The sequence below is a fragment of the Homo sapiens genome, chromosome 22 (assembly GCF_000001405.40).
Source record: "Homo sapiens chromosome 22, GRCh38.p14 Primary Assembly".
Lineage (NCBI taxonomy): Eukaryota > Metazoa > Chordata > Mammalia > Primates > Hominidae > Homo > Homo sapiens.
The window spans coordinates 31365957-31381412 of record NC_000022.11 but is presented as its reverse complement, the minus strand read 5'-3'; positions in this window follow the sequence as shown (position 1 = coordinate 31381412).

Genomic DNA, 15456 nt, shown 5'->3' with positions numbered 1-15456 from the left:
TGGCTCACACCTGTAATCACAGCACTTTGGAAGGCTGAGGCAGGTGGATCACCTGAGGTCAAGAATTTGAGACCAGTCTGACCAACATGGTGAAACCTTGTCTCTACTAAAAACATACAAAAATATTAGCTGGGTGTGGTGGTGCATGCCTGTAATCCCAGCTACTCAGAGGCTAAGGCAGGACAATTGCTTGTACATATAAATGTGTGTGTGTGTGTGTGTGTGCGCGCGCTCAATAAGAACACATGGACACAAAGAGGGGAACAACAGACACTGGGACCTACTTGAGGGTGCAGGGCGGGAGAAAGGAAATGATCAGAAAAAATAACTATTGGTTACCAGGCTTTGTACCTGAGTGATGAAATAATCTGTACAATAAACCCCCATAACACGAGCTTACCTATATAACAAACTTGCACAGCTGTTCCTGAACCTAAAATAAAAGTAAAAAAAAAAAAATTTAGCTTGATGTAGTGGTGCACACCTGTAGTCTTGGCTACTCAGGAGGCTGAGGCAGGAAGATACCTTGAGCCCAGGAGGTTGCAGTGAGCTATAATCATGCCAGTATTCTCTAGCCTAGGCAATAGAGCGAGACCCTGTCTTAAAAAAAAAAAAGAAAGAAAGAAAGAAAGAAGAACTTGAAAAGATGAAAGGATCAGTAAAACAGAAAGGAAAAATATCTCAAAATGCTTGAATAAGGATAGAAAGAAAAAATAGGCCAGGCACAGTGGCTCACGCCTGTAATCCCAGCACTTGGAGGGGCCAAGGTGGGCAGATCACTTGAGATCAGGAGTTAGAGACCAGCCTGGCCAATATGGCAAAATGCTGTCTCTACTAAAAACACAAAAATTAGCTGGGTGTGGTGGCGCATGCCACTGCACTCCAGTCTGGGCAACAGAGTGAGATTCCGTCTCAAAAAATAAAATAAAATAAATAAATAGCAATCTTGAGTAAGAAAGGACATACAACCACTGATAATAGCAAATTAAAAGAATTACAAGCCTGGGCAACATGGTGAAACCCTGTCTCTACTAAAAATACAAAACTTAGCTGGGTGTGGTGGTGCATGCCTGTAGTCCCAGCTACTCGGGAGGCTGAGGCATGAGAATCGCTTCAACCCAGGAGGCAGAGGCTGCAGTGAGCCGACATCACGTCACTGCACTCCAGCCTGGACAACAGAGCAAGATCTTATTTAAAAAAAGAAAAAAAGAATTACAAAAGACTATTACATGTAACTCTCTGCCAAATACTTAGAAAATCTAGCGGAACCTGTAATCCCAGCACTTTGGGAGGCTGAGGCAGGGGGATTGCTTGAGGCCAGGAGTTTGAGACCAGCCTGGGTAACATGGCAAAACCCCATCTGTACTAAAAATACAAAAGTTAGCCAGGCATGGTGGCTCAGACCTGTAGTCCCAGCTACTTGGGAGGCTGAGGCATGAGAATCGCTTGAACCTGGGAGGCGGAGGTTGCAGTGAGCCAAGATCGCGTCATCACACTCTAGCCTGGGCGAGAGTGAGACTCTGTCTCAAAAAAAAAGGAAAAGAAAAGGAAATATAGGAGAAATAATGACTTCCATATAAAAAATAAAATAAAATGTTACAATTTTCCCAAGAAGAGAGATAAGATGTAAATACACTAATAAGTATAAAAGAAATTAGAAGCCGGAAACGGTGTCTCACACCTATAATCCTAGCACTGTGGGAGACTGAGGCGGATAGATCACCTGAGGTCAGGAGTTCAAGACCAGGCTGGCCAACATGGTGAAACTCCATCTCTACCAAAAAGACAAAACTTAGCCAGGTCTCGTGGCTTGCGCCTGTATCCCAGCTACTTGGGAGGCTGAGGCACAAGAATCATTTCAACTGGGGAGGTGGAGGTTGCAGTGAGCCAAGATGGTGCCACTGCACTCCAGCCTGGGCGACAGAGCGAGTCTCCATCTCAAAAATAGATAGATAGATAAATAAATAAAACAAAATAGAAATAAAAGAAATTAGAAAAGTAAGTCTTCATTTTAAAAGGCATCAGGCTTAGATGGTTTTACAGCTGAGTCTTGTTTTGTTTGTTTGTTTGTTTGTTTGTTTGTTTGTTTGTTTAAGACGGAGTCTCACTCTGTTGCCCGGGCTGGAGTGCAGTGGCACCATCTCGACTCACTGCAACCTCTGCCTCCTGGGTTCAAGCGATTCTCCTTAGCCTCCTGAGCAGCTGGGATTACAGGTGCATGCCACCACGCCCAGCTAATTTTTTTTTTTTTTTTTTTTTTTTTTAGTAGAGACAGGGTTTCACCATGTTGGCCAGGCTGGCCTCGAACTCCTGACCTTAAGTGATCCACCCGGCTTGGCCTCCCAAAGTGCTGGGATTACAGGTGTGAGCCACCATGCGCAGCCAGTTGTCTCCGATTGTAAAGAACAGGTGGAGCCTTATCTTAATTTCTTCATTGTGCTAATAGTTCCATGGGTATACACGTAAGTCAAAACTCATCAAATTGTACACTTTAAGTATGAACAATTTCTTATATGTCAATTATACTTCTGAAAAGATGTTTACATGATGAAAATGAAAGTAAGACTTCCACTTTCAGTGATGATGAACTCATCCAACAATCTTTTTTTTTTTTGAGACAGAGTCTCGTTCTGTCATCCAGGCTGGAGTACAGTGGCATGATCTCAGCTCACTGCAACCTCTGCCTCACAGGTTCAAGAGATTCTCCTCCCTCAGCCTCCCGAGTAGCTGGGATTACAAGCGTGTGCCACCATGCCCAGCTATTTTTTTTATTTTAGTGGAGATGGGGTTTCACCATGTGGCCAGGCTGGTCTCAAACTCCTGACCTCAAGTGATCCGCCCACCTCAGCCTCCCAAAGTGCTGGGATTACAGGTGTGAGCCACCGCGCCCCGCCCAACAATATTAAAGAACTATAAAACTGGACAAAATCAGAGGCAGATGTTTTCAGTTATTTAAAAAAAGGCAAAATAGACTATGATTCTTGAGAAAAAGGGAAATAGAAAAGATAAGCCCTATGTTTGTCCTGGCTTTCTGCCTGGGGACAATTTCCCAATTACAGTGGAGGAAAGTGGATTCCAAGCAAAGGAGAATTCTTCCTGAGCTGCAGAGGCAGAAATCAGTGTTTGGGGCTGCTGAAGTAGCTGGAATGTGTAGGACAGGGCACAGAAAAGAAGGGAGCAGCACCATAGGGAGTGGGAAGAGACAGAAGTTTACATGTGGCCTGTAATCCCAGCACTTTGGAAGGCCGGGTGCGCTGATCACTTGAGGTCAGGAGTTGGACACCATGCTGGCCAACATGCTGAAACCCCGTCTCTACTAAAAATACAAAAATTAGCTGGGCATGGTGGCGCATGCCTGTAATCCCAGCTACTTCAGAGGGTGAAGCAGGAGAATCACCTGAACCTGGGAGGTGAAGGTTGCAGTGAGCTGAGATCGTCCCTTTGCACTCAAGCCTGGGCAACAGAATAAGACTTGGGATGGAAGGGGAGGGGAGGGGAAGAGGGAGGGGGAGGTTAGGTTTACATGGGAATTCCTCTTGCCTCTCTAGCCAAAAAAGGCTGGGCTGTGGGCTATGCATGTACAGAGTGGGACTCTGCGAGGCCCAGCAGAGAACAACTGTTGCAGGATTGACAGCTGAACAGAGATAACAGCTTTTGCTCAGTGTTGGGACATGTGGGAGTTCAAATCCAGCCAGAGTGAAAAGAACATGCCAAATATCTTGGGCATTCAGTTGAGATCCTCAAAAGGCCATGCGTCAGGAGTAAGGACTAAGTGCTAGAATAAGGTCCATGCCTTAGGACCAAAGACAAAACCAAAATAAATCTGCCTAAACAAAACTTAAAACCAAACCTGACAGGAACAAGAGGATTCACCAGTAATTTACCTACCAGAACAAAACTTAAAGCTCCTTGCCTAGGTGTGGTGGCTCACACGTGTAATCGCAGCACTTTGGGAGGCCGAGGTGGGCAGATCACCTGAGGTCAGGAGTTCCAGACCAGCCTGGCCAATATGATGAAACCCCATCTCTACTAAAAATACAAAAATTAGCCAGGCGTGGTGGCGTGTGCCTGTACTCCCAGCCGCTCAGGAGGCTGAGGCAGGAGAATCACTCAAACCGGGGAGGTGGAGGTTGCAGTGAGCTGAGATCATACTGCTGCATTCCAGCCTGGGCGACAGAGCAAGACTCTTCTCAAAAAAAAAAAAAAAAAAAAGTCAGGGGGACCTCCTCTTTCGGCTTTGGAGCCCCCCTCCTTCTGTTTCTGTATGAGGGAGCCTCTTCCTTCTGCCTTCTTTCTTGCCTATTAAACTCTCCACTCCTTAAAACCAAACAACAAAAAAAAAAGCAAAAATTAGCTGGAGCCGGACGTGGTGGCACGCACCTGTAATCCCAGCTACTTGGGAGGCTGAGTCAGGAGAATCGCTTGAACCCAGGAGGTGGAGGTTGCAGTGAGCTGAGATCGTGCCACTGTACTCCAGCCTGGGCAACAGAGCAAGACCCTGTTTCAAAACAAAACGAAACAAAATAAAACAAAGTAAAAAAACTGAAAGCCTTTGAAAGGAAGGCAACAAAATCCAGACTCCAGATCATAATCTGTAACATTCATAATGTCTACCATACAATAAAGAAGTACTAGACTTGCAAAGATGGAAGAAAATGAGACACGATCTAGAGAAAAGGGCCAAGTAAAGTGGCTCACACCTACAATCCCAGAGCTTTGGGAGACCAAGGCAGGAGGATCATTTGAGGCCAGGAGTTTCAGGATGCAGTGAGCTATAGTTGTGCCACTGCACTCCAGCCAGGGCGACAGAGCAAGACCTTGACTCTAAAAATAATAATAAAAATTTTTGAAATCTAGAAAAAAGGTCAGAAGAAAAAGGGACCTAGATGTTGGAATTAACAGAAAAGGACTTAATACAACTATTATAAACACGTTCAAGAATTAAAAGGAGGCCAGGAATGGTGGTTCACACCTATAATTCTAGCACTTTCAGAGGCCCAGATGGGTGGATCACCTGAGGTCAGGAGTTCAAGACCAGCCTGGCCAACATGGTGAAACCCCATCTCTACTAAAAATACAAAAAGTAGCCAGGCATGGTCGTGGGCACCTGTAATCTCAGGTACTCGGGAGGCTGAGGCAGGAGAATCACTTGCAGTGGAGGTGGAGTGGAGGTTGCAGTGAGCCGAGATCATACCACTCCACGTCAACCTGGGCGACAAACTGAGACTCCGTCTCAAAAAAATAATTTTTTTTTTTAAAGAATTAAAAGGAAGGGCTGGGCACGGTGGCTCATGCCTGTAATCCCAGCACTTTGGGAGGCTGAGGTGGGCGGACCACGAGGTCAGGAGATCGAGATCATCTTGGCTAACACGGTGAAACCCCATCTCTACTAAAAATACAAAAATTAGCCGGGCGTGGTGGCACGCACCTGTAGTCCCAGCTACTCAGGGGTTGAGGCAGGAGAATCCCTTGAACCCGGGAGGCAGATGTTGCAGTAGTAAGTGGAGATCGCGCCACTGCACTCCAGCCTGGGCAACAGAGCGAGACTCTGTCTCAAAAGAAAAAAAAAGGAATTAAAAGGAAAATATGGACTGGTTGTGGTGGCTCACGCCTGTAATCCCAGCAATTTTGGAGGCCGAGGCGGGCAGATCACTTAAGGTCAGGAGTTCCAAGACCAGCCTGGCCAACATGGTGAAACCCTGTCTCTACCAAAAATATAAAAAATTAGTCGGGTATGGTAGTGCGAGTTTGTAATCCCAGCTACTTGGGAAGCTGAGAACCTGGGAGGTGGGGGTTGTAGTAAGCCAAGATTACACCACTGCATTCCAGCCGGGGCAACAGAGTGAGACTCCCTCTCAAAAAAAAAAAAAAAAAAAAAAAAAGGCCATAGTGAAGTAACATCTCAACAGAAAAATGAAAAATATAAAAAATGGGATTCATGGAAAAGTACAATGTCAGAAATGAAAAATTCACCATGGAGAGTTAACAAAAGATTAAAAAGTACAGAGTAAAGCTAAAATAAACTTGAAGGACCAATAAAAGTTATCCAAGTTGGAAAAACAGAAAGGAAAAAATGAACAGAGTCTTAGTGTCTCCTGGGCCACTAGCAAACTATAACACCTGTAATAGGAGTCCACAAGGAGAGAAGAGATAATGGAGTGGAAAAACTATGTGAAAAAAGAAAGGCCAAAACGTCCTCTTTTTTTCTTTAGAGAAGGGTCTTTCGTTGTGTGGCCCAGGCTGGTGTGGCACAACCATAGTTCACAGCAGCCTTGAAATCCTGGGCTAAAACAATCCTCCCACTTCAGCCTTCTAAGTAGCTGGCATGCACCACCACACCCAGCTAATTTCTAAATTTTTTTTAGAGGTGATTTATTGCTGAGGCTGGTCTCAAACTCCTGGCCTCAAGCAATCCTCCAAATTCAGCTTCCCAAAGTGCTGGGATTACAGCATGATTCACTGCACCCAGCCTAAAATTGTCTTTTATATTTTTAAAATTTCTTTAAAGGACAACTGTTTAAAGCAAAAACAAAAATATTGTATTGTGAGATTTTACAACACTCATAAAATATAAGACTATCGTAGCACAGAAGACAATATTGAGGGTGTAAATGGAATCATACTGTTGTGAGAGTTTTACATTTTTCATAAAATGATACAATATTAAGGCCGGGCGCAATGGCTCATGCCTGTAATCCCAAAGCTTTGGAATTACAAACGAGGTCAGGAGATCGAGACCATCCTAGCCAACATGATGAAACCCCATCTCTACTAAAAATACAAAAATTAGCCGGATGTGGTGGCACACACCTGTAGTCGAAGCTACTTAGGAGGCTGAAGGAGGAGAACTGTTTGAACTTGGGAGGCAGAGGCTGCAGTGAGCCAAGATCGCTCCACTGCACTCGAGCCTGGTGACACAGCAAGACTCTGTCTCAAAAGAAATAAAAATAAAAAATGGCCACAAATAAGTACTAGAAGATATATACTTGAAAATGGCTGAGAAAGTAGTTTTTAAGTGTTCTCACCACAGAAAAAAAAAGTATGAGAGGTAAGACATATGTTAATTAGTTTGATTTAGCCATTTCACATATTCTACAAATTTCAAAACATCATGTTGTACACCATAAATATATATAATTTTGTAAATTAAAAAAATAAATTTAGGCTGGGCGCAGTGGCTCATGCCTATAATCCCGGCACTTTGGGAGGCTGAGGTGGGCAGATCACCTGAGGTCAGGAGTTCAAAACCAGCTTGGCGAACAAGGTAAAACCCCGTCTCTACTAAAAATACAACAATTAGCCAGGCATGGTGGCACGTGCCTGTAGTCCCAGCGACTCGGGAGGCTGAGGCAGGAGAATCACTTGAACCCGGGAAGCGGAGGTTGCAGTGAGCCGAGATCATGCCACTGCACTCCAGCCTGGGCAACAGAGTGAGACTCATCTCAAAAAAAAAAAAAATACAAAATTGAGCCAGGCGTGGTGGTACGCGCCTGTAATCCCAACTACTCAGGAGGCTGAGACATAAGAATTGCTTGAACCTCGGAGGTGGACCCAAGATTGCGCCACTGCACTCCAGCCTGGGTGACAAAGCGAGACTGTCTCAAAAGGAAAACAACAAGAAAACACACCATGGGTGAGACCCCATCTCATATAAATAAATAAATACACAATGATCCCTACTGTTTGGGAGGCTGAGACAGGAGGATCACTTGAGCCCAGGAGTTCCAATTCCTCCTGGGAAACACAGTGAGACTCTGTCTAATAAATAAATAAATAAATAAGCCATGACAAGTCCAGAAAGATCTTGAAAGAAAGGAAAAAGCTTTAAATGTTATTACCTTTTTTTTTTTTGAGAGGGAGTCTTGCTCTGTCCCCCAGGCTAGAGTGAAGTCCGCCTCCCGGGTTCACACCATTCTCTTCCTCAGCCTCCCGAGTAGCTGGGACTACAGGCACCCGCCACCATGCCCGGCTAATTTTTTGTATTTTTAGTAGATATGGGGTTTCACGGTATTAGCCAGGATGGTCTCAATCTCCTGACCTCGTGATCCGCCACCTGCCTCGGCCTCCCAAAGTGCTGGGATTACAGGCGTGAGACACCGTGCCTGGGGGCTATGTTATTACTTTCAACAGCACATTTTTTGCCAGGCACGGTGGCTCACGCCTGTAATCCCAGCACTTTGGGAGGGCGAAGCGGGTGGATCATGAGGTCAGGAGTTCGAGACAAGCCTGGCCAGCATGGTGAAACCCTGTCTCTACTAAATATAGAAAAAAATTAGCCAGGCATGGTGGCACGCGCCTGTAGTCCCAGCTACTCTGGAGGCTGATGCAGGAAAATTGCTTGAACCCAGGACGCAGAGGTTGCAGTGAGTGAAGATCGCGGCACTGCACTCCAGCCTGAAGATTGCAGCACTGCACTCCAGCCTGGGTGACAGGGCGAGACTCCATCTCAAAAAAAAAAAAAAAAAAAAAAAAAAAAAAACAACCAAAAAACCAGCACATTTTTTTCCCCTGCCTTTTGTACAAAGGTCCCTGCATTTTCATTTTGCACTGAGTCTCAAAAATGACACAGCCAGGCTAGGCGTGGTGGTTCATGCCTGTAATCCCAGCACTTTGGGAGGCCAAGGCAGATGGATCATCAGAGGTCAGGAGTTCGAGACCAGCCTGGCCAACACAGGGAAATCCCATCTTTACTAAAAATACAAAAATTAGCCGGCCATAGTGATGCATACCTGCAATTCCAGCTAGCTGGGAGGCTGAGGCAGAAGAATAGTTTGAACTTGGGAGGCAGAGGTTGCAGTGAGCAGAGATTGCACGACTACACTCCAGCCTGGGTGACAGAGTGAGCTATCTCCAAAAAAAAAAAAAAAAAAATTACACTGCCAGCCATAGGCACTGCCAAAAGAAAAACCCTGGGATCTCTGCTTCTGAGTGAAGTAAAAGGAAAAAAAAACCTAGGTGAGATAGCAGTCCTGTTTATCTAGCTTTAGTACAAGATGTATTAACAGCAACATGTACCTGGTCATGCCAAAAACCAATGTTCAAGTTTTTTAAAAAATTTGCCTTAGTCCATTCTAGTCTTTTTTTTTTTTGACGGAGTTTCACTCTTGTTGCCCAGGCTGGAGTGTAATGGCACGATTTCGGCTCACTACAACCTCTGCCTCCCGGGTTCAAGTGATTCTCCTGCCTCAGCCTCCTGAGTAGCTGGGATTACAGGTGCCCGCTACCATACCCGGCTAATTTTTGTATTTTTAGTAGAGATGGGGTTTTGCCGTGTTGGCCAGGCTGGTCTCGAACTCCTGACCTCAGGTGATCTGCCCGCCTTGGCCTCCCAAAGTGCTGGAATTACAGGTGTGAGCCACTGTGCCCAGTCTAGTCTGAGTTTTTATTTTTATTTTTATTTTTATTATATTTATTTATTTATTTTATTTTATTTTTTTGAGACAGTTTCGCTCTTGTTGCCCAGGCTGGAGGGCAATGCACAATCTCAGCTCACTGCAACCTCCGGCTCCTGGATTCAAGTAATTCTCCTGCCTCAGCCTCCTTAGTAGCTGAGATTACTGGCATGTACCACCACGCCCCGCTAATTTTGTATTTTTAGTAGAGACAGGGTTTTACTATGTTGGTCAGGGTAATCTGGAACTCCTGACCTCAGGTGATCCACCCGCCTCGGCCTCCCAAAGTGCTGGTATTATAGGCGTGAGTGACCGCGCCCAGCCTATTTTTATTTTTTGAGATGGAATCTCATTCTGTCTCCCAGACTAGAGTGCAGTGGTGTGATCTCAGCTCACCGCAACCTCCACCTCCTGGTGCAAGTGATTCTCCTGCCTCAGCCTCTTTAGTAGCTGGGATTACAGGTGTGTGCCACCATGCCCAGCTAATGTTTATATTTTTAGTAGAGACAGGGTTTCTCCATGTTGGCCAGGCTGGTCTCAAACTCCTGACATCAAATGATCTGCCCGCTTCGGCCTCCCAAAGTGCTGGAATTATAGGCGTGAGCCACTGCGCCTGGCCTATTTTTATTTTTTGAAACAGTCTTGCTCACCAAGACTGGAGTGCAGCAACACGGTCATAGCTCACTGCAGCCTTGACCTAGGCGTAAGCAATCCTCCCTTCTCAGCCTTCTGAGTAGCTGAGGCATGCCACCACGCCCAGCTAATTAAAACAATTTTTTTTTGGTAGAGATGGGAGTGTCACTATGTTGCTCAGGTTGGTCTGGAGCTCCTGGCCTCATGAAATCCTTGCTCCTCGACCTCTCAAAGCATTAGGGTTACAGGCCTGAGCCACTACGCCTGACCTTAGTCTGAGTTTTAAAAACTTATTTTAAAACTCATAAGAGAGGCCGGGCGCAGTGGCTCAGGCCCATAATCCCAGTATTTTGGGATGCTGAGGTGGACGTATCACCTGAGGTCAAAAGTTCGAGACCAGCCTGGCCAACATATTGAAACCTCGTTTCTACTGAAAATACAAAAATTAGCTGGATGTGGTGAAACACAGCTGTAGTCCTAGCTACTCGGGAGGCTGAGGCAGGAGAATTGCTTGAACCTGGGAGGTGGAGGTTGCAGCGACCCGAGATCGTGCCACTGCATTCCAGCCTGGGCGACAGAGCAAGACTCTGTCTTAAATAAATAAATAAATAAATAAATAAATAAATAAATAAATATCACAAGAGAAACACAGGCTCTCTGTAGTTAATTCAAACAATTCCTAATGAAGTGCTAAGTGAAAATTTCCTTTTGCTATTCAGTGAAATCCCTCATCCCTCCCAGAAGTCACAGCAGCTAGTCTGTGGTTCTGTGCCCTTGTCTAGGGAGGTGATAACTGAGGCTCAGCAAGGGGAAGTGAGCCATCCGCAGTCACCCAGGTAGCAAATGGAAGAAATGGAACTTGCACCTGGATAGGATGAGTCCACCCTTGCAAGGTGCGTGTTTCCTCCATGCATTCGGCAGACCCATTAACAACACAACACATATAATGAGTGTGTCTGGCCCAGATTCAGCTCCTTAATGACAGGCCTCCCAGTCTGTGTGGGAAATCCCAACCGGATATTAATTTCACCACCATCAATGGACTTCATAATATTTTTGTTTTAAAAAATGATGACTGCGAGCAAAGAGATCAAATACATTATTAGTTCCTGTGATCTCAACTCTCAGATGAATTCATGCAATTTAGTGCCTCCTAATGCAGTCAAATACAAATTCCTAAGCCAGCTGTGTCAGAAATAATAGATTTCTAAATGAACTTGACTGATACAAACACAATACTAGGGGCAGAACCTACTAGGGAAAGATGATATCTGATTATCTTTGGACTTTCCAGGCCTGGCAGTGGCTCGATCAAGGTAGGTGCTCAATATATTGACTGGACTGAATTAGTGTGCACAAATGCTTCTAGTCCTGATGCTCTTAAAAAGAAAAGACAGGCCGGGCGTGGTGGCTCACACCTGTAATCCCAGCACTTTGGGAGGCCGAGGCGGGCGGATCAGGAGGTCAGGAGATCGAGACCATCCTGGCTAACACGGTGAAACCCTGTCTCTACTAAAAAACAGAAAAAATTAGCCGGGTGTGGTGGCGGACGCCTGTAATCCCAGCTACTCGGGAGGCTGAGGCAGGAGAATGGCGTGAACCCAGGAGGCGAAGCTTGCAGTGAGCTGAGAGTGCACCACTGCACTCCAGCCTGGGCGACACAGTGAGACTCCGTCTCAAAAAAAAAAAAAAAGAAAAGAAAAGCCAGGCACAGTGGCTTACACCTGTAATCCCAGCACTTTGGGAGGCCAAGGCTGGTGGATCACCTGAGGTCAGGAGTTGAGACCAGCCTGGCCAACATGAGGAAACCCCATCTCTACTAAAATAATACAAAAAATTAGCTGGGCGTGGTGGCGGCTGCCTGTAATCCCAGCTACTCAGGAGGCTGAGGCAGGAGAATCGCTTGAACCCAGGAGGCAGAGGTTACAGTGAGCCAAGATCGCGCCATTGCACTCCAACATGGGCAACAATAGCAAAACTCTGTCTCAAAAAAAAAAAAAAAAGAAAGAAAGAAAGAAAAAGAAAAGACAGCCCAGTTTTTTCTGGGGCTTCAGTGGAAGAGAGTGAAGCCCCACCTCCATTTATGAAGATGCTTTTCAGGTTAGCAGCCATGAAACAAAATAATCATATCAGGAAGAGCCCTCATGTTATGAAGTATCTGCCCAGTTCATAGCAATGCACATTTTCTTCTATCAAATTAAAAAAAAAATTGGTCTGGGCAGGGTGGCTCACAACTGTAATCCCAGCACCTTGGTAGGCCGAGGCAGACAGATCACCTGTGGTCACGAGTTCAAGACCAGCCTGGCCAACGTGGTGAAACCCCATCTCTACACAAATACAAAAATTAGCTGGGCATGAGGGCGAGTGCCTGTAATCCAAGCTACTCAGGAGGCTGAGGCAAGAGACTCGCTTGAACCCGGGAGGCAGAGGTTGCAGTGAGCCAAGATTGCACCATTGCATTCCAGCCTGGGCGACAGAGTGAGGCTCTGTCTAAAAAATAAAATAAAAAATAAAAATAATTGTTTTTTGTCCAGGCACAGTGGCTCATGCCTGTAATCCCAGCACTTTGGGAGGCTGAGGTGGGTGGATCACCTGAGGTCGGGAATTCAAGACTAGCCTGACCAACATGGAGAAACCCTGTCTCTACTAAAAATACAAAATTAGCCGGGCGTGGTGGCACATGCTTGTAATTCCAGCTACTCAGGAGGCTGAGGCAGGAGAATCGCTTGAACCCAGGAGGCAGAGGTTGCAGTGAGCTGAGATCTCGCCACTGCACTCCAGCCTGGGCAACAAGAGTGAAACTCTGTCTCAAAAAAAAAAAAAAGAAAGAAAAGAAAAGAAACTGGGGAGCCAGAGAGCAGGCATGTTCTGGCCCCCCTGCATCTGTACCAGAGAAACAGAGCAGCTGATCATTGCATCCTCAGAAAAGCATGTCAGAGGCTGGGTGCAGTGGCTAATGCCTGTAATCCCAGCATTTTGGGAGGCTGAGGTGAGTGGATCACTTGAGGCCAAGAGTCCAAGACCAGCCTGGCCAACATGGTGAAACCCTGTCTCCACTAGAAATACAAAAATTAGCCAGGCATGGTGGTGCATGCCTATAATCCCAGCTACTCCGGAGGCTCAGACAGGAGAATCACTTGAACCTGGGAGGTGGAGTTTGCAGTGAGCTGAGATCGCGCCACTGTGCTCCAGCCTGGGCAACAGAGCAAGACTCTGTCTTGAAAAAAAAAAAAAAGAGAAAGAAAAGCAGAGACAAATGATGGAGAGAAAGGACTTCCTTGGTTTCAAAGTGCTCATATCCCTCCTTGCAGGCTTGCTGCCATTTCTGTTTATAGGTTCCAGGAGACACCTCTGTGTCTTTCAAATGAAGCTCTTTTTTACTTATGGAGGCACTTGAGTTGACTTTGTTACATGCAACCAAAAGAGTTCAACTGCTTCCCGGGGTTCCTGACTCCTTCCCATGTATCCTTCCAGGCCCCGCTGAGGCCCTATTACTTTTGGGTCCTGTAGACGTGACAGTGCCCTTCTGGTAAATTCATTTTCTGTTCACTTAAGCTAATTTGAATAGGTCCTTGCTGTTTGTTTCCAAAAGAGCTTTGACTAAAACAACACATCTGCACCCGTGAAGGCATGAACATATGCCTGTATATATGTGGAATTCAACATTGTCACCAAGAATGCCAGCCTCATTCAAGATACTGCTGTGTCTGTATTTCCACTTACGGCCTCTCTGGCCCCTTGCACAGTATTTAGATATCACATGTTCATGGCTAGGAGAACGAAGGAAGTGACTGGGGGATTTCCCCTAAGGAAGCAGAGGACAGTATTTGGGGAGATATGGGTTTCAGAGTCATGACTCTACACCTTAGATTCAGACTTTGGACACATCCTACACCTTCCTTTAACCTCAGTATGCACATCTCTAAAATATAAATAATAGGGCTGGGCTTAGTGGCTCATGCCTGTAATCCCAGCAACTCTGGAGGGTGAGGCGGGAGGATCGCTTCGGTCCAGGTGTTCATGACCAGCCTGGGCAACATAGTGAGACCCCGTCTCTACTAAAAATATAAAAAATTAGCTGGCTGTGGTTCTGTGTGCCTGTGGTCCCAGCTACTCAGGAGGCTAAGGTGGGACAATCACTTGAGTGCAAGGTGGGGCAGAAGTGGCAGTTAGCTGAGATCACTCCACTACACTTCAGCCTAGGCAAAAGAGCAAGACCCTCTCTTTCAAAAAAAAAAAAAAACAGTAAAGAACTATCATTTTTATTTATTTATTAAAACATTTTTTTTTCTTAGACGGAGTCTCACTTTGTCACCCAGGCTGGACTGCAGTGGTGTGATCTCAGCTCACCACAACCTCCGCCTCCCAGGTTCAAGTGATTCTCCTGCCTCAGTCTCCCAAGTAGCTGGGATTACAGGTATGCACCACCACTCCCAGCTAATTTTTGTATTTTTAGTAGAGACGAGGTTTCACCATGTTGGCCAGGCTGGTCTCAAACTCCTGACCTCAAGTGATCTACCCGGCTCGGCCTCCCAAAATGCTGGGATTAAAGGCGTGAGCCACTGCCCTCAGCCAAGAATTGTCATTTTTAAAGACTACAAGGTAAACCCATGGTTAGGTAGAAAAACCTGGAAATAGGCCAGGTGTGGTGGCCCATGCCTGTAATTCCAGCACTTTGGGAGGCCAAGGCTAGTGGATCACCTGAGGTCAGGAGTTCAAGACCAGCCTGGCCAACCTGGTGAAACCCTGACTCTTCTAAAAATACAAAAATTAGCTGGGTGTGGTGGCAGGCTCCTGTAATCCCAGCTACTTGGGAGCCCGAGGCAGGAGAATCACCTGAACCTGGGAGGCGGAGGTTGCAGTGAGCCAAGATCGTGCCATTGCACTCTAGCCTGGGCGAGAGAGTGAGACTCCATCTCAAAAAAAGAAAGAAAGAAAAAAGAAAAAAAAGATAAAATCTGGAAATAAAGAAAAACATGGGCCAGGCATGGTGGCTCATGCCTGTAATCCTGGCACTTTGGGAGGTCGAGGGAGACAGATTGCCTGAGCTCAGGAGTTTGAGACCAGCCTAGGCAACACGGTGAAACCTGTCTCTACTAAAATATAAAAAATTAGCCAGGCATGGTGGTGGGCGCCTGTAGTCCCAGCTACTCGGAAGGCTGAGGCAGGAGACTGGCTTGAATCTGGGATGTGGGGATTGCAGTGAGCCAAGACTGCTCCACTACATTCCAGCCTGGGCGACAGAGTAAGACTCTATCTCAAAAAAAAAAAAAAAAAAAAAAAAAAAGGAAAACAATTAACCTGTGATTCGGTCCCGCAACTGAGCAACTGATAAGATTTTGTTACATATCTTCAAATATTTTTTCTATGCCTGTCTTATTTTATCCAGGCAAAACTGAGATCCTATTATTTGTATGGAGCAGCTCACTCT